Source organism: Homo sapiens, chromosome 5 (assembly GCF_000001405.40).
Source record: "Homo sapiens chromosome 5, GRCh38.p14 Primary Assembly".
NCBI classification, from domain to species: Eukaryota; Metazoa; Chordata; class Mammalia; order Primates; family Hominidae; genus Homo; species Homo sapiens.
In genome coordinates, this window is record NC_000005.10 from 61,622,204 (window position 1) to 61,640,553 (window position 18,350).

The following is an 18,350-nucleotide window of genomic DNA, read 5'->3' on the forward strand; positions in this document are numbered from 1 at the left end:
TCAAGGGATCCAAGAATTCCTAAATCCTGTCCCAGAATGGCCACTGTCCCCTCAAATGATTTTCTGTTCATCCGTATAGGTCAGGGTTGAGCAGGAAACAGATGACACATTCAAACTGAGTAATCGGAGGAGATTTTTGCAAAAGGATGACTTGTAAAAGTGTGGGTAGGATTTAGGGAAATGAACAAAAGACAGTGCAGTATCCTGAGCTAACAACAGTGGGGCACCATTACCACTTCTAGGCCTGCAGGGCCCAGGGGGGATGTAGTTCCTGCATGCTGGAGAGAGAGATGCAGCTCTGGAAGACAGCCTACCAATAGCAGCCATGGCCTGTGGAGGAGGAGAGCAGCCAATCAACCATGATCTGGCCAGGAGGGATCCAGGGTAATCAACCTCATTCTCCTCCCATGCTGCCATTGGCCAGTTCCTCTCATGGGCCAAACCCATCCAAAGCCAGAGAGAGAGTGAGCATGTCGATGTAGCCCATAGGGTCACCTTCCTGAGGCACAAAGCAAGGTGGACAAGGGTGGAGAGCACATTTAGAGGGCCGGGTGGGGTAAAAGGAATGTATCCAGCACATCTTCATGTCACCTGAATCCCATCATATTTCTAACTCCCAGCAAATACTAATATAAACACCCTAAATAGCAGGCACATTTGTAGTTTGTGTCATCTCTTCTCAATAATTTTGACTTCTTATTCTCATATTATTTGTCTACTAATGATTTTCATAAACATGATTTACATTTTACCATTGTATTAAACACATGAAAAGGTTGTTATATCTCTCAGAATTATTGGACTTTAGTGCCTAATTTAGTGGCTCACAGCTGGGAACAATTTGCCCCCCCCGCTCTGCAGGGAACATTTCTCAGTGTTTGGAGACATTTTTGGGAAGGGTGCTACTCACTTGGTACACAGAGGCCAGGCCAGTATCCTACAATGCACAGCATAGCCCCCAAATGACAGAATTATCTGGTGCCATTGTTAAAGTGCTGAGGTTGAGAAACATTGCTCTTAGTGGAGAAAGGTTTGGGCTCTGCTAAAGGGAATCAGAGAACAAGTGAAAGGAGAGATGGACTTCTGTGTTTTTTGTTTTGTTTGGGCAGGGGGAGCCTATCTCAGAGGAAGTTTCCATACTCCGTCTTTGGGGAGGATGGCTCCTTTTTGGGCCCAGCTGGGCTCTTTGGGCTCAATCCCTGGGCATCCTGGTATCAGTTGGACTGCAGGATTGAGCATCTGAAAAGCCAGACTGGGAGCTCTTGCGGGGAACATCTCGGGCCATGTAGATGACATTCTTAGCTTGCCTGCCCTTTGTGGCTGCTGGAAGTGGTACAGCACACTCTAAAGAACTATTTCAAGATGGTTCAGCCAGACCCACAAGGTCTGGCAGAGTTCTTGCCTTTCCCAGGCTTTGGGGTTCTCTGCATTTCAGTTCAGAGCTCTTAGAATGTTAATAAGTAGGGACTTAAAAAAAGTCCTGAAATAGTTCTCAGGACACGAAGAAAATGTCCTAGCTCAGAAAGTAAATGAGTGCAGTCAGCTGTCCTTTGTTAACTTGTTGATTAAACCTAGTCTTTGTTTCCTTTTTCTATTTTTTCCTATACCCATTGCGGGGTCATTTCCCTGCCTATTTGGGCCTGTGTTAGAGCAGAGCAGAGGGCAGGCAGAGGAGAAAACTCCACATCAGCGCCTCCTTTGGCAAGTGGTTAAAAGACATGATAAAAGATGTAGAAGTAATGACTACAATTACCTGTAAAAATCAGGATTATCAGTTAACCCTTGTCATTCCTTGGCTGTGTTATCACTTGAATGATATTAATACTTATTACATTTAATTTATTTTTTAAGCAAACAATTCATTTACATTGTTTAAAACTGAAATAACAAAGGATTTAGATTAAGCTTGTCCAACCTGTGGCCCTCAAGGCCATATGTGGCCCAACACAAATTCATAAACTTTCTAAAAACACTATGAGATTTTTTTGCATTTTTTTAGCTCATCAGCTATCGTTAGTGTATTTTATGTGTGGCCCAAGACAATTCTTCTTCTTCCAATATATCCCAGGGAAGCCAAAAGATTGGACACCCCTGATTTAGATAAAGGAGAGAAACTCTGTCCTCCCACCTCAGCCTTCCCCCCTTAAAAGGCAACATCCACCCAGAGAGATAGTCTATGCATATACAAACAAGTATGTATATACATGTTTCTTTTATTTTTTCATCCCATACAAATAGTAGTATATTTGCTTTTTTACTTATGAATATGTCTTAGAAATCCTTTCATGTCAGTAAAGAACTTTCTGTTTTCTAAATGGATCTATGGTATCATTTGGTTATACCTTAATATATTTGGCCAAAAGTGACTTGTTTTAAAAAGCCTTCTGAATCTATTTCAAACCAGAAAGAATGCTCAACTAAAAACCCAAAACAAACAAACAAAAACTTATTTGGAAGTTTAGGCATGAGAGACTACTTTCTTCTACCATTTTGTAAAGCTTTCGTTTTCTCATCTTACTGAGATTTTCAGATTTTTTTCTGCACTTGCTCCTTAACATAAAGCCTCTATGAAATAGCTGTTCAGCACCATAGAATGTCCCAAAGGTTTGGATACTGCTTGTGACTTAAAAGGTGTCTATTTTATTACATTAGTAAATGTTTATTATCTTTTCTTATGAAAATCCAGCCTGAGCCAGTTGAATGATACTGACTCCAGAAAAGCCTGTTTGGGCCTGGGACAAGATATTGAGCCTCCCTGTTCCCAGTTTTTCCATTTTTAAAAACTGGATAATATCCTGGAGCCTTAGCAGCTTTAAAGCTTTGTGCTGGGCGGGACCAGCTCAGCTTCAGAAATAAGAGCCTGCCTATCTGTACTGTCTTTCTGTGGTACATCCAGGATGCGTGTGAAAGATGAACACATTTTAAGTAAAGAAAGAGCTTGCTGCATTTGGAAGCCAAAGAGAGGGCAGGCAGAAGAGCCGTCGGGGTGTACAGCGTTCTGGGGCTCCAGGGCTTTGAAATGCTTTCCAGTGTTGTCACTTGAATGTCGAACACGTTATTCTCAGTGGACACTAAAGAGAAGTACAGGTACCGTGGGCTCCAGGGGGATTCATTATTCAAGGCACAAAATTTCCTTCTCCGGCCTGCAACACATTATAATTCAAATGAGCTCAGCACAATAGAAGAAAAATATGCAAGCAGATTTCTCTCTGTCATGTTTTTTCCCTCCTCTCTGAAGCCCTGTAATTACAGCAGGCAGGTGGAGCATCTGGGGTGTGGGGGAGTCCACTGTGTTTTTACCTTCCCAGGAACGCGACTTGCCTACCGCATCAATATATTTTATTTTTAATTAAGCGCTTATTGCAAAATCGGAGTCCCTGCACGAAAGCCTGATTCAAAACTTTTTTTTCCTGTCGTTCTCTGAGATGTCGCTGCTATTACTGTCTCAAATTTCCTTTTAAATTTTGCTGTTTGAGTAAATTAGTGCTGGCCTTTCCTGAGCTCCGCAGCTCCGAGGTGGCCCGACTGCCGGGCCTCCACCCCTTTTCCCCGGTCCCGGGTCGGTTTCTCCGGGCGCAACCAGCAGCGCCACAAGCCGGTTGGGTCCCCTGGCTCCCTCTCCAAGGCCAGCGCGGTCATGCGGGCGGGCGGGCGGTGTTCCCCAGAGACCGCCCATCCCGCGGTGGGGGTGGTGGAACCGCAGAGGCCACCGGATACAGCGACCTCAGGCCTGGCAGCGCCCATGGCGGGCCCTGTGGCCCGGGTACTGCGAATCGCCGGGGCTTGGCGGCCTCTGGAACAGGGGCCTCCGCCTCGAGGAGGCGGCGGGACCTGAGGGGCCGTGGTCGCTGCACTTTGTCCGAGACCCCTAGATTGGCCAATAGGAGACCGGAAAGGTGCAGGGAGGGCCAGTGGGGCCGATGGGCCGGGGCCCCGGACAGGCTGGCGCGGGGTTCGGGGGTTCTCTCCTGTCTCTGACGCCTGCCCCCGAGGAGGCAGAGCTGGGCAGCCCTGGGCCTCCGCCGAGCCCAGCTTTCCTAAGCCGGGAAGTCGGGGGTTCCTGGGCCGGGTGGGAACTGTCGTCCCTGGAGGACCCCGCCCCTGAGATCCCCGCCCCACATCCGGGTAGCGTGGGGGCACCTGGGGTTCCCGAGATGAGAACCGGTGCTCTGGGGGCGACAGGCTTCGGCGGGATCCCTGCAAGCCGGCGGCCCAGGCGGGTGAACCCCCCGGATTCCAGCAGGAACAATCCCAGTCCCCCGCTCCGGGAACCAGGCACTCGATGCAAATGGCTTCCCAGCCACCCGCCAGCCCTGCCCATGCCAGCGCCTCGCGGGGTGGCTCCCGCCTCGGCGCAGCCCCCCTGGTTGCTGGCTGCACATCTGCTTCCGAGCCACCCAGGGGCAACTTGAGGCAATGTCGGGGGGGGCGGGGCCGGGACGGTGGAGGGAGACTGAGGCAGCAGCCAATGGGCTGGAAGGTCCGGCAACATTTGCAGAGAAGGGGCCACCTTAGGTTACTATGAATCTTCACCAAGCGCAGGAGGGTCAAAAGAGTGTTTTCAGGAAGACCAAAAGGAGGAACGAATACCCACATGTGGCCAAAAGAGGGGCTGAGACTGGACGTGGGGGCCTTGCCTGCCCCGTGGAGCTTCCTCAGGCACCGGCTGCCTCTGTCCATACCTCCACTTTCCTGGGTGCAGTCTTCAGGGCTTGGACCAGTACTGGGGTCTGGGACACAGAGAAGAGACCCAGATCCCTGTAAAGATGGGGACTGATTGCTGGATGGGCCTCGGGAAAAGGCAGGCCTCCATGGGGCCAGTGGGGGCTGACAGGGCAAGACCTGGTTTCCCACACAGGCCAGAACTTTCTCAGGACAGTGTGGGTGGGTGCTGTGACTACATCCGGACCCACCCACTCTTAACCATCCAGGAACTAGGACTGGGGCTCTGTGATGTTTCCTCTTTTACAACATCTATTGTATTTTTCCTTCTCATTACAAAAGCAGTACATGTTTATCACAGAGTTAATGAAAAATGCAAACATACATAAAGAAAACAAAAACCATATATTCTCATTAAACAAACATATTCTCATTAGCTGGAGGCAAACATATTCTCATTAGCTGGAGGCAAACCTTTCTTGTATATCCTGAGTACAAACACGGTTATTCTGTGGGGTAACTGGCTTTTTCTTTTTCTGAACAATACACTGTGAATATCTTTCCACGTGAACATCCTTCTAATGAATATAGTTTAATAAATATACTCTATTCTTAATGATTCTACAGAACTTTCATTGTAGGGATGCGGTGCGATATTTTCAATGATTCTCTTACAGGGCTTCTAGGATGTTGCCAGTTTTTGTTTTTTGCTTTTTTTTTTTTTTTTTTTAACTTCTGTCCACACCATTCCAAGGTCATTCTCTTGCTGGGTCACTATGCATGTCCTTAATTATTTCCTTAAAATCTATTCCTCAAAACGACTGGGCCAACTGTTCTGCATTTTTAAAGTTTCACTACATTTTGTCAAACCGACCTTTAGAAATGTTATGTCATTTCATACTCCCACCTGCAGAAAATGCAGAAGTCTGTTGCCAGAATTCCATCCTTACCAATCATGAATATTAGTCTCCTTTTTATTCTTTTCTGTTTGTCTATTTTTAAATTGGAGTATTCATCTTTTTCTTACTGATTTGTAAGAACATTGTATATGTTCAGTCTATTAATTCTTTCTCATGCATTTTGCAAGCTTTTCCCATTTGTCAATTGCTTTTTACCTTTCAATTTACATTTAAAACTGTTGGGCAGTCCATCACAAAGCGTATCCACCATGATCAAGTCTGCTTCATCCCTGGGATGCAAGGCTGGTTCAACATATGCAAATCAATAAACATAATTCATCACATAAACAGAACCAAAGACAAAAACCACATGATTATCTCAATAAATGCAGAAAAGGCCTTCGATAAAATTCAACACCCCTTCATGCTAAAAACTCTGAATAAACTAGGTATTGATGGAACGTATCTCAAAATAATAAGAGCTATGTATGACAAACCTGCAGCCAATATCATACTGAATGGGCAAAAGCTGGAAGCATTCCCTTTGAAAACTGGCACAAGACAAGGATTCCCTTTCTCACCATTCCTATTCAACATTGTATTGGAAGTTCTGGCCAGGGCAATCAGGCAAGAGAAATAAATAAAGGGTATTCAAATAGGAAGAGAGGAAGTCAAATTGTCTCCGTTTGCAGATGACATGATTGTGTATTTAGAAAACCCCATTGTCTCAGCCCCAAATCTTCTTAAGCTGATAAGCAACTTCAGCAAAGTCTCAGGATACAAAATCAATGTGCAAAAATCACAAGCATTCCTATACACCAATAATAGACAAAAAGAGAACCAAATCACAAGTAAACTCCCATTCACAATTGCTACAAAGAGAATAAAAGACCTAGGAATACAACTTACAAGGGATGTGAAGGACCTCTTTAAGGAGAACTACAAACCACTGCTCAAGGAAATCAGAGAGGACACAAACAAATGGAAAAACATTCCATACTCATGGAAAGGAAGAATCAGTATCATGAAAATGGCCATACTGCCCAAAGTAATTTATAGATTGAATGTTATCCCCATCAGGCCACCATTGACTTTCTTCACAGAATTAGAAAAAACTACTTTAAATTTCATATGGAACTAAAAAAGAGCCCACAGAGCCAAGATAATCCTAAGCCAAAAGAACAAAGCTGGAGGCATCACACTACCTGACTTCAAACTATACTACAAGGCTACAGTAATGAAAACAGCATGCTACTGGTACCAAAACAGGTATATAGACCAATGGAACAGAAGAGAGGCCTCAGAAATAATGCCACACATCTACAACCATCTGATCTTTGACAAACCTGACAAAAACAAGAAATGGGGAAGATTCCCTATTTAATAAATGGTATTGGGAAAACTGGCTAGCCATATGCAGAAAACTGAAACTGGACGCCTTCCTTTCACTTTTTACAAAAATTAACTCAAGATGTATTAAAGACTTAAACATAAGACCTAAAACCATAAAAACCCTAGAAGAAAACCTAGGCAATACCATTCAGCACACAGACATGGGTAAAGACTTCATGACTAAAATAGCAAAAGCAATGGCAACAAAAGCTAAAATTGACAAATGGCATCTAATTGAATTAAAGAGCTTCTGCACAGCAAAAGTAACTATCATCAGAGTGAACAGGCAACCTACAGAATGGGAGAAAATTTTTGCAATCTATCCATCTGACAAAGGGCTTATATCCAGAATCTACAAGGAACTTAAACAAATTTACAGAAAAAAAACAACTCCATCAAAAAGTGGGCAAAGTATTTGAACAGACACTTCTCAAAAGAAGACAGTTATGTGGCCAACAAACATGAAAAAAAGCGCATCATCACCAGTCATTAGAGAAATGCAAATCAAAACCACAATGAGATACCATCTCATGCCAGTTAGAATGGTGGTCATTAAAAAGTCAGGAAAAGACAGAAGCTAGAGAGGATGTGGAGAAATAGGAATGCTTTTACACTCTTGGTGGGAGTGTAAATTAGTTCAACCATTGTGGAAGACAGTGTGGTGATTCCTCAAGGACCTAGAACTAGAAATACCATTTGACCCAGCAATCTCATTACTGAGTATATACTCAAAGGAGTATAAATCATTCTACTATAAAGACACATGCACACATGTTTATTGCAGCACTACTCACAATAGCAAAGACTTGGAACCCACTCAAATGCCCATCAATGATAGACTGGATAAAGAAAATGTGGCACATATACACATGGAATACTATGCAGTCATAAAAAAGGATGAGTTCATGTCCTTTGCAGGGATATGGATGAAGCTGGAAACCATCATTCTCAGCAGACTAACACAGGAACAGAAAATCAATCACTCCATGTTCTCACTCATAAGTGGGAGTTGAACAATGAGAACACATGGACACAGGGAGGGGAACATCACACACCAGGGCCTGTTGGGGGGTGGGGGCAAGGGGAGGGAGAGCATTAGGAGAAATACCTAATGTAGATGACAGGTTAATGGGTGCAGCAAACCGCCAGGGCACATGTATACCTATGTAACAAACCTGCACGTTCTGCAGATGTATCCCAGGATTTAAAGTATAATAATACAAAAAATGTTGTGCAGTCAAAATTTGTAATATTTTAATTTATAGCTTTTGTCTTTGCTGTCATTCTTGAGATGTAGTCTCATTCTGTCTCCCAGGCTAGAGTCCAGTAGCACAATCTCTGCTCACTGTAACTTCCGCCTCCTGGGTTCAAGCGATTCTCCTGCCTCAGCCTCCTGAGTAGCTGGGATTACAGGCATGAGCCACCATGCCCAGCTAATTTTTGTATTTTTTAGTAGAGATGGGGTTTCACCATGTTGGCCAGGCTGGTCTTGAACTCCTGGCCCCAAGTTATCCACTCACCTAGGCCTTCCAAAGTGCTGGGATTACAGGCATGAGACACTGTGCCCGGCTTGTTTCACTTAAAGTTTTAGTTCATATGGAATTAATTTTGGTATCTGACAGAAATAGGAATCTAAGTTTACTCCCTTCCCCACTCCCTTATCCTCATTGTTAGTCCTGAATCCATTTGACTCTACCATATGCTATGGCCAAGCCCCAAACAAACAGATCCAGATGGGAAGATTTAGTGTGGGAGACCCTGGCCCTAAGAAGCACTGAGGGAGTGGGATCAGGAAACCTTTATAAACAGGAACGGGACCTGTTTTATGGTCCCATATGTTGGAATCACATAAATCTGGATGAAGCCAGTCTCTGTCACTTTTACTCCCTGGAATGTGGGACAAACAAATAAGTTACTGAACTTATTTAAACCTCAGTTTTGCATCTGTGAAATGGGTACAATGATAACCCCTACCTCTCAAAATGGTGGTGAGGATAATGTGATAATACAAATGTGAAATGCTTCAGCACACAGCAAAGCATTCAATATTATTAGTAGTAGCGGGTAAAGAGAAATGGAGAATGATGGCAACAGCATGTAATATAGAGATATTAAAAGAAACACAGACATTATCAACAATTAGAGACACAAAGGTGATACTTCCCTGTGCTGTGGTTCTATTTTGAGTCCCAGAAAGTTTATCAGACCAATTAGGAGGGTTTCCTGTGAAAAGAAAGGCTTATAGTCCTAGAGCCTGGATCTACTGGAGCCTGCACTTAAATGCACACAATTCAAAGGAATCCAGTGGCATTTCTGTTCTCCAACCTGTTCCAAGGCTTTCTGATGAACCTGCCTGCGTCAAAGTGAATCAGCTGAGCAAGCTGGCATTTGGAGAGCTCACAGGACGGAGAGCACTCGGGGCTTGTGCTTTAAGTGGGCAGCCATCTCCCTCCTGGCTCGCCCCCAGCTGAGGATTGCTGCACAGAGAAATAGTCACTGGACGTGAGCCAGGGGCAGCAGTCAGCTTAACCAAAGGAATCAATGGACACTGTGTTTTCCCTCTGCAAATGAGGAAAATGACATGGTAAGAAGGCATATGCCTTGTCCAGAATCACAAATCCCAGGGGCAGAAAAGGCAAAGAGAAACGCTGCCTCAGAAGGAGCCATTTCCCATCCCGAGGAAGCCCAGAGCTGGGACTTGGTTAACAAAGGAAACAGAAACGGGAACGCTGCCCTCGAGCTCCCGGGGAGTGGAGGCCCAGCATATTTTTATGAAGCATGGACAATGAGTAGCCATTCAAAAGGCCGATGCTGCCTCTTCTTAGGAAAGGGCAAATATTTTAGGAATCCCTTCAAGCAAATGCCGGATTGCTTTTTAGGGGAGTGGGACTTGGCTGGGTAGTTAGTACCAAGGGCTTTAAGCTTTGATTCTGAGTTTTGCTCCTATAGAACAGTGGTTCTTAATTCTGGCTACACATTGGAATTAGATGAGCTCTTAATCCAGGAGGTTGGATTAAATTAGCCTGTAGTAGGGCCTTGACGTCAGTATTGTGAAAAGCTCCTTAGTGAATCCTAATATGCAGATTAGGGTTGAGAAGAAGCTTCCTGTTGCATTGCTCTTCCCAGCTGCATCTCACTTCCCAGCTGATGAGAACTAGGTTACAGGGCCAAACCATGCTAGCAAAATGTTTCTCACACTTCAAGGAATTGTCTGGGGACCTTGTTAAAGTGCAAGTTCTGATTCCGTAGGTCTGGGGCAGGGCCTGAGATTCTATATCTTTTACAACCTTCCAGGTGTTGCTGATGTTGCTGGTGTCAGGACCACACTTTGAGTAGGAAGAGTCTAGAAGTGGTCCTCATAATTCAGTGAGCATAAAATTTTCCAGTGAGTTCCAGGGGCAGGCTCCAGGAATCTGTATTTTTAACAAGTCCTCCGGTGAATTGATGTATTTGGTAGTTCAAGGCCACACTTGGAGAATGGGGTCAGCCTACCTACGGTTTTCTCAGGCATTTGTCATTTTAGCATATCCTGGGCAAATACTTGGCTGGAAGACCACATAGTCAATTGGCCTGGAGTTGAAATAAGAAGAAAGCCCGTGATGCCTGGCTCCCAGGCCTGAATCCCAGCCTGCTGACTCTGGTATCCCTTAACGTTCAGGCCAAATCCCATTACCACAGGAGACCTACAAGTCTTTGCATTTTCTTGGGATAAAGGAACCATCTGTTTAGGTTTGGGTTTTGACTATGAAGTCATTTACCCTGTTCCCTCTTGGAACTGTGACTAATGTATCAAGAGTCAGAGCAGAGATCCTGGGAGAATGAAATGCAAAGTACTTTCAAGAGCCCTCCACCTAAGGAAAACCCTCATGCAAGAAGGTGAAAGATGCTGTAAAAAAAAGTCACTGCTATATGTGATTTTAAGGACATCAAATAAGAAGCCTCCACCAAATTAATGTGGCTTTTCTATTTCAATAACATGGCCTGTGAGGTAGGATAAAGCCAGGACCTGAAATGACAGCCTGAAAGAGAATGGACAAATCAGGCACATACTCTCATTTGGTTACTGTTAAACCACTGTTTTTCAAGTACAAGTTATTCAACTTATAGATGATTCTGGCCTTTGGTTCTTCTCTCTTTTCTCTCTTTGGTTTGGCCATTTCACTGTTTATTAGCAGCTCCACCGAGGGTGGGAAATAGAAATGGACCTCAAATGAGGCAGGGTAACATCTGTGAGTAGGTCTGCTTAGAAGCTTGATGAGGGGGAACAGAGATTTTAATTGTAATTGCAGAAATTATAGAATTCGCTTCACTGTGCTGTCTAGGCCCACTTTTATATGGCAAATCCCAGCCTTATAACAAGAACAGACCACTCTCCCTACCCATAGTTCAACAATTGGCAGCAATGATTCAGTGGAAAAATTGGAACTTTAAAAATGCTTTATTCTTTCACTCAAGTATACTTATTGCTTTATATGCTTCTTATTCGCATGGTCATCTGGTAAACCTGGTTGTGAAATGGGGACAGAAATTTATCACTGCATGTACGTAGGAACATGGGCAGGTGTGACTTTCATGTTTAAGGAAGTTTTTGTGGTCTACTCTTCTAGTTAGTTATAATATATTATATAACAAAACATATCTCCTGTTCCTGTCACTTGGTATAATAAATATGTTGGTGAAATTTCTTGCAGAGTTTGATTACTCAGTCAAAACCTAAGTATCCTGTTGGGAGAAGAACACTCATTTTAGTGGCACTGTTCTATTCTTTGGATGAATTGAATAGTTACTAATCCAGCCACAGAAGAAAGACACAGGTAATTGCAATTGAGCAAACATACAGAACCCCACAAAAAAAAAGACTCACGAGAAGTGTAAAATTTCCCATCAAACATCCATCCATCTCTATTTTCTCCATTCCTTAGAATAGTCATTGTAGCCATAGGAAATAACTCGGGACCAGGTCTACACTAGGAGGAAAAATGTCATTCCTCATTCAAGCACTCTGGAAATGAGTTTAAAAAGACACAGTCTGCCCATGGTCAATGTGAGGTCAAAAACTCTAGTAGCCAATTTGAATTTTCTTTTAAGAAAATGTAACACACCACCTACTACCCCGCTTTTTACTGTGTAACACCACTAGAGTTCTTTAGGTTGTCCGAGGGTAGACAGGGATGTTGATTGGTCAATGTTTTAAATGTAACTTGTTTAAATTAACAGCAACTATTTTCTCTCATTTATCTATATCACCAATACCATGAGGCCTCACCCGGGGCCACTGTTGGAAATCAGGTGTTACAATGCAACTGGTGGTTATGGTTTTCATGTGGTCAGGATCCCTTAGACTGGTCGCTGCATGAAGCTCCATGCCTCTTGCTCACTGCTGTTTCTTGGGTGAATAGCACAGTGCTTGGTTATATGTAGGCATGTGAATTGGTGGTCTGGGTTTAAACCATGTTAGGCAACAAATGCTTTTCAATATATGAAATTTTTAGAGCTGGAAATACCTTTGAGAGAATAGAGGTCACTATACATTTTCTGTCTAGCAGCAATTCTCCCAATTTTCCTTCCACACAGAATTGTGATTTTGTTCTGTTTTCTTCCGCTTTTGTACTCCCAGGAGAGGCTGAAACATCACCTCTTGAGGGTCTCCTTTCTGGTGATTTATTCAGATATTGGCACATGTGACTCAATAATGGCCAATACTATGTGAAGGGACATCTTCTGGGGAGTCTTCCTCCTTTTCTTCCGGATTCTTTGTGTCTGAATGTGATGCCTGGAGATGCAACAGCAGTCTCACTACCAGCACGAGGATGAAGCTGATACCCAGGTATGGCGAGAGAGAGAGAAAGATAGAAAGAACCCAGGTTCTTGATGACGTTGTTGAGCCACCCAATCAGTCAACCCCTAAGCTTCCCTGCTGCTCTACTTTCTGTTATACAGGATAGGACGTTTCCTTAAATGTTTAAACCACTTTGAATCAGGGTTTCTGTTGCCTCATGGCCCAAAGCATCTGAAGCGATGGAGAGAATTTTAAGTCCAATTTCTCATTTCACAGAAGATGTAACAGAGTGTGCTCAATGTTATGTTGCAGGTGACAGCAGAACACAGGAATAGAGAGGCTGAATCTTCTGCTTTAGAGCCATTTTTAGTCAGATGCTGCCCCTCTTACAATTTACTTAATTATAAATTAAAGATGGTTTAAGAGTGTATCTCTCAAGTCACTGTCCTTGTATTTGACAAAATTTCCTGGCCAGGGTTAAAGTCTGGAATTCTAATCCAAATTTTCCTCATTTGGACATGCTGAATCAAACTGGCCACTACAGAGACAAAGAGTATGCTTGTTGACTTTGAAAAACTAAAAACGCTTTGTTCCTAATGACTAGGGAGCAGTGACCTGGGAGACTTGATCTGTTTGGTAACTGTGGGCGAGAAAGACGAAATATATCTCTTTGGGTCAAGACTTAGCATTTGTAAAGTAAGGAAGACCACAGGATGTTATTCAAAGCCTTTGCCAAGGCTTTGGTTGGAAGATTTAATGGAATCCACAGGCAGAGAATAGGGTGAGGGTAGGAGGTGGGGATACAGGTTAGGAAGGTTGGTTTATCCTTTCTGTTCCCAGGGGCATTTCTTCTATCAGGTCATTCCCTCAGCTGCAAGGCCTCCTGTTTGCCTCTAATGCTACTTCCAATCTGTCCATGCTGCAGGGCCCAGGTTATACTATATTGCCTCTATCAAGTCTTCCCGGATCACTTTAGCATGCACCAGTAACTCATTTTCAGAACTCACTCATTTCCTGAACTCTTTACTCATTCATTAAACATGTCATGTTACAGAATATTTCTCTTCTGGTATTTCACTCATTTTGCTCCTAAATTTTATCTTGAGGAAGCAGATCAGAAAAAAAGAAACGACATAGACTTTAAGGGCACATTGACTTCACTTGAATCCTGCTCTAGGGCCCCTGCCTTGCAGAACTCCAGGGGCCAGTTAGATAGCATGCAGTCCTGACTGGTTCTACCACTCTGGAGCAACTGTCTATGACCACCTCAAATCCATTGTGGAATGCAAATGGGGCATACTGTATTAGTTTCTATTGCTGTTCCAACAAATGACTACAAACTCAGTGGCTTAAAATAACACAAATGTATAACTGCTATAGTTTAATATCCCCTCCAAAACTTAGGTTGAAATTTAGTTGCCATTGTAACAATGTTGAAACATGGTCTTACAGGAGGTGATTAGGTCATGAGGGCTCTGCCCTCATGAATGGATCAAGGCTGTTAATCACAGGAGTGTGTTAGTTATCAAAGGAGTGGGCTCCACATAGAAGAATGAAGTTCTGGTTCCCTTCCTCTCTCTCTCTCGCATGCTCTCTTGTCAGGTAATGCCTTCTGCATGTTATGACACAGCAAGAAGGCCCTCACCAGATGCAGCCCCTTGATCTTGCACTTCCCAGCCTCCAGATCCATAAGACAAATAAACTTCTGTTATTTATAAGTTACCTAGCCTGTGGTATTCTGTTACAGCAGCAGAAAATGGACCAAGATATCTTACAGTTTTGGAGGCCAGAAGTTCACAGTGGGTTATCAGGGCAGGGCGTCTTCAGGAGGCTTGGGGTGGAGGGGGAGGAATCTGTTTTCTTGCCTTTTCCAGCTTCTAGAGGGTGCATGCATTCCTTGACTCATGACCCGACATCACTCCAATTTCTGTTTCCATTGTCACATCCCTGTCATTCTCACTCTTATCTTCCTATCTACCCCCTTATTAAAGACCATGGCAATTACACTGGGCCCACTCAGAAAGTCGATAGTAACATCCCCACTGCAAAACCTTTCATCACCTCTTCAAAGCCCCTTTTGCCATTTGAGGTAACCTATTCACAGCCTTCAGAATTTTTGAAGGAGGGGAGGCATCATTCTGCCTGCTATATACATAGTCTTTGGATCTCAGTTTCCACATCTGTAAAATGGAGAACTACTGTCTTCCCCACAGGGCTATTGAGATGATTGAATGAAGTAATTTCTGCTTATGAATTCCCAGCTCTGTGCCTGCCATGGAGGCAGGCAATTCTGATCCATGTTCTCTTCTGAGTGGGTTGTCAGCTGGAGGCCTTCTACTTCTTTCTAATCCATTAGCTTCTTGCTAGTGCTGCGTCCCCAGGAGGAAATCAGTAAATGCAAGAAATAATTACCTTGACAATGCCTTGCACATAGTAAGTACCCTAAAATAATTCATTGAATTGTTTGTTATTTTGGTGTTAATGGATGGGGATCATCTGATTAAATGTTATTATTTATTAGATCTAAAATATAAATTTGGATTCTTCTGTTGCACTTTTACCTAATTACTCTAAACACCAGTGGGAGAGAGGAATTAGTCACAATACAACTTAAAGAAAAAAATATCTTGCTGTCACTGACTTCTCTCCTTGGTCTGAAAACTTTCTGATTTTGTAGGATGCCACTGACTGCTCTTTCTGCAACTGAAAAATCTCTCAAAGGGCCCTGTCCAGTTAGGTCACACAAAGCCAGGCTGATTATTTAGAGAGAACACAATGCTCCCTCACATGGGGCACAGAGAGGAAGGAATTTTTTTTTTAAGCCAATTCCAGTCCCTGGAGCTGCAAACTGCCCTCAGGGCAAAGAAGCCTGCAGAATAATTGGGAGGAGTCTGGCAGGAAGGAAGCCAAGGTAAGTTAAGCTGCATTTCTGTCTATAGCCAGGGTCTCCATGCCACTTTTTAAACATCCCCTTCTGGGATAAACCTGTATGTCAAGATAAACAATTAAATAATATGCAAGGGCCAAATCAGGAAAACTGCAGCTTCAGCCCTAGAAAACAATGCCAAGAAACACCAGCCTGTCTGCCGCTGCTAAGTCGAGGAGATGGGTTCCCATGATTCCGTAAGAGAACTGGGTCAGGGAGGAGACACTGTCTGTTTAGAATATGCTTCAGGCCCCTAAACTTGGTCGGTTTATGCTTTTTCAGGTTAATAAAGTGGAAAATAACTTTACCTCATCCCTCTATCAAAGCATAGTGCGGCTGCCCCAGAGACCCCTAATACAGCCAGGGATGATGTGTTTGGAAAATGGGGCAAGAGAGGGTCCAAAGATGAGACCCCAAAACTGTGAGGGGGAGGTTGTGTGAGGAGGACAGACCAGAGCTGGAGGGGGACTGTGAGAAGAGGAGTCTGGTTGCTGCCGTCTCTGAAGGGTCTTCCTAGGCTCCCACACCATCATGTCTTGGCCAGCCAAGGCCAAGTGGTTGTGTAAACTTAGGATGGTCATAGAATCCTGAACTACTAGCACATGGGGGTTGAGCTTGTCTGAGGATCTTTTTGAGGAAATGGGGGAAGTATTATTCATGTAATGTGTGACCAGAGTATAGAAATCATGATCCCAGCAGATGGCATGAACGGACACTGAATAGTCCGAATGTCTCATCTCTCTGGACAGAGCAGGCTGGTGGGATCTGGGCAGTCGGGCTGGCTGAGGAGGCATATTTCAGAGTCCAGAGCGAATCCCAGCAGTAATGCCTGGGAACAAAGCCAACTGGTGCCCAGGGCAAGCAGCCCAGTTCTGGGGTCAGGCTACCAAGGTTGTACCAGGCAAGAGAAGAAGGGTGAGCAGGGGAATATTCAAGAGCATCCAAGAATGCAGGGAGCTAATGAGCATGGGAGTGCAGAACTGAGGTCAGAAGGCGTGGCCAATGGAAACTCCCAGCAGCCCTGTGCAGGGGCTCTGCGGATACCTGCTAGCTCTTGGGGCTTAAGCACGCAGTTCGGGACTGGCAGCTCAAAAATGTCTTGAGCAGATTGGCCCCTCAGATAAAGTGGGACACACAGTCTTTTTTTTTTTTTTTTTTTTTTTGAGACGGAGTCTCGCTCTGTCGCCCAGCCTGGAGTGCAGTGGCGCGATCTCTGCTCACTGCAAGCTCCGCCTCCCGGGTTCACGCTATTCTCCTGCCTCAGCCTCCCGAGTAGCTGGGACTACAGGCGCCCGCCACCATGCCCGGCTAATTTTTTTGTATTTGTAGTAGAGACAGGGTTTCACCATGTTAGCCAGGATGGTCTTGATCTCCTGACCTCGAGATCAGCCCTCCTCGGCCTCCCAAAGTGCTGGGATTACAGGCTTGAGCCCGGTTGGGACACGCAGTCTTTAAGAAGTACTTAGGAAGGGCAGTCAGGCTAAGCAGTGGGCTGTACTTTGGGACCCTTTTGCCACAGAACAGAGGGCAGCCTCTGAGTCTGGCCGTGTGTCGTAATTCCTGTGTTGGAACAGCCCCACCCTAATGAGGGCATTTAGATATTTACTTCCATCTACACTCTCCTTGGGTAGGGCGGCAGCAGAAATAACTGGCTTTGAGGCCTCCACCTTGCAGGGTCCCCTTTTTCACTACTAACGCTACCTCTCAGGGCATCCCAAATTCATGGGAATCCCATTCTGAGAAGCCCCAGTATAGGTCTGGATGTTGGATAAGAACCAAGGGCGGTGTGATGCTTATACACTGGGACAGAGTAGGCCTGCCTGATTTAGCAAATAAAACCACAAGATGCTCAGTTAAATTTGAATTTCCAAAAAGCAAAGAGTAAATTTTTTAGTACATGTCTATCCCCAACACTGCAGGGACATACTTATATTGCAAATGATTTGTTCTTTGTAATGAAATTCAAGTTTAACTGGGAATCCTGTATTTTGCAGGCCACCGTATTACAGAGGCCCATATGGAACCAGCTGGTCTGAGACAAGCCCAGGTTCTGGGCCAAAGCAAAACAGGCAGGTGTTTGCTCAACCTCTGCTAAAGGTCTATTTTTAAGGCTAGATGCTGAATTAGGAGAAGAAGCTTATGAATTGAATAAAATACTATTTGCCATCAAAACCCCTTTGAATTTTAGCTAGTAATTCACCCATAAAGTGCCACCCACCAGGGAGCCTCATACGGTTTCATAAATACATATGAGAGCTGCTGTGGAGAGAGATGGAGCCCGACGCAGGCACCGGACACAACATCCCACAGCTTCCCCATGGCTTTCAGAAAGCTTGCAGATATTTCTCTCTTCTGTTCTGAACTCTCCACAGAGAAATCTGTCAAGGGAGAAAGCAATGACTTTGCTCTCACTGGGCCAGAAATTCCATGGCTGAAATGACCCAGGGGTAGCAGGCGGGTTTGACAATCTGTCAGTTTCTGGATAGTGTTACTCGTCAGTCACTCATTTTTGCTAAATTGCAGAAACTCTTTTCTTTAAATGAAACTTTATTTGCTCATGATGCAGGTTAAGCCCAGTTTCTGGCATGTGTCCAGGGAATTGGGTGTGCCACCCTGTCCACTTGGTCATGGGGAAACCGTTAAGTCAGCCTTCAGTCTGGACATCTCTGCTCAAGGCTTTAGTTAATTTTTC

The 18,350-nt window shown here is 44.3% G+C and overlaps 2 long non-coding RNA genes across 5 annotated transcripts in view; one reads left to right on the plus strand and one right to left on the minus strand.

The window, feature by feature from the left end:
• Positions 1-2,195: 2,195 nt before the first annotated feature.
• LOC105378997 (basic proline-rich protein) lies at positions 2,196-5,864 on the minus strand. The gene is made up of 3 exons (NR_189165.1): positions 5,778-5,864; positions 4,595-4,730; positions 2,196-3,143 (listed from the first exon to the last, which is right to left on the minus strand). It is a non-coding gene; the product is annotated as a basic proline-rich protein (long non-coding RNA).
• A 9,692-nt stretch (positions 5,865-15,556) lies between these two features.
• The window catches only part of LINC03122 (long intergenic non-protein coding RNA 3122), a 93,238-nt gene continuing 90,444 nt past the window's right edge, over positions 15,557-18,350 (plus strand). For 3 of the 4 annotated variants that reach the window (NR_126524.1, NR_126525.1, NR_126523.1), the window contains exon 1: positions 15,578-15,643. This is a non-coding gene — a long non-coding RNA (long intergenic non-protein coding RNA 3122). Of the gene's footprint in view, positions 15,644-18,350 lie in introns of all 4 variants that reach the window. The other variant, NR_161251.1, reaches the window with a different exon arrangement.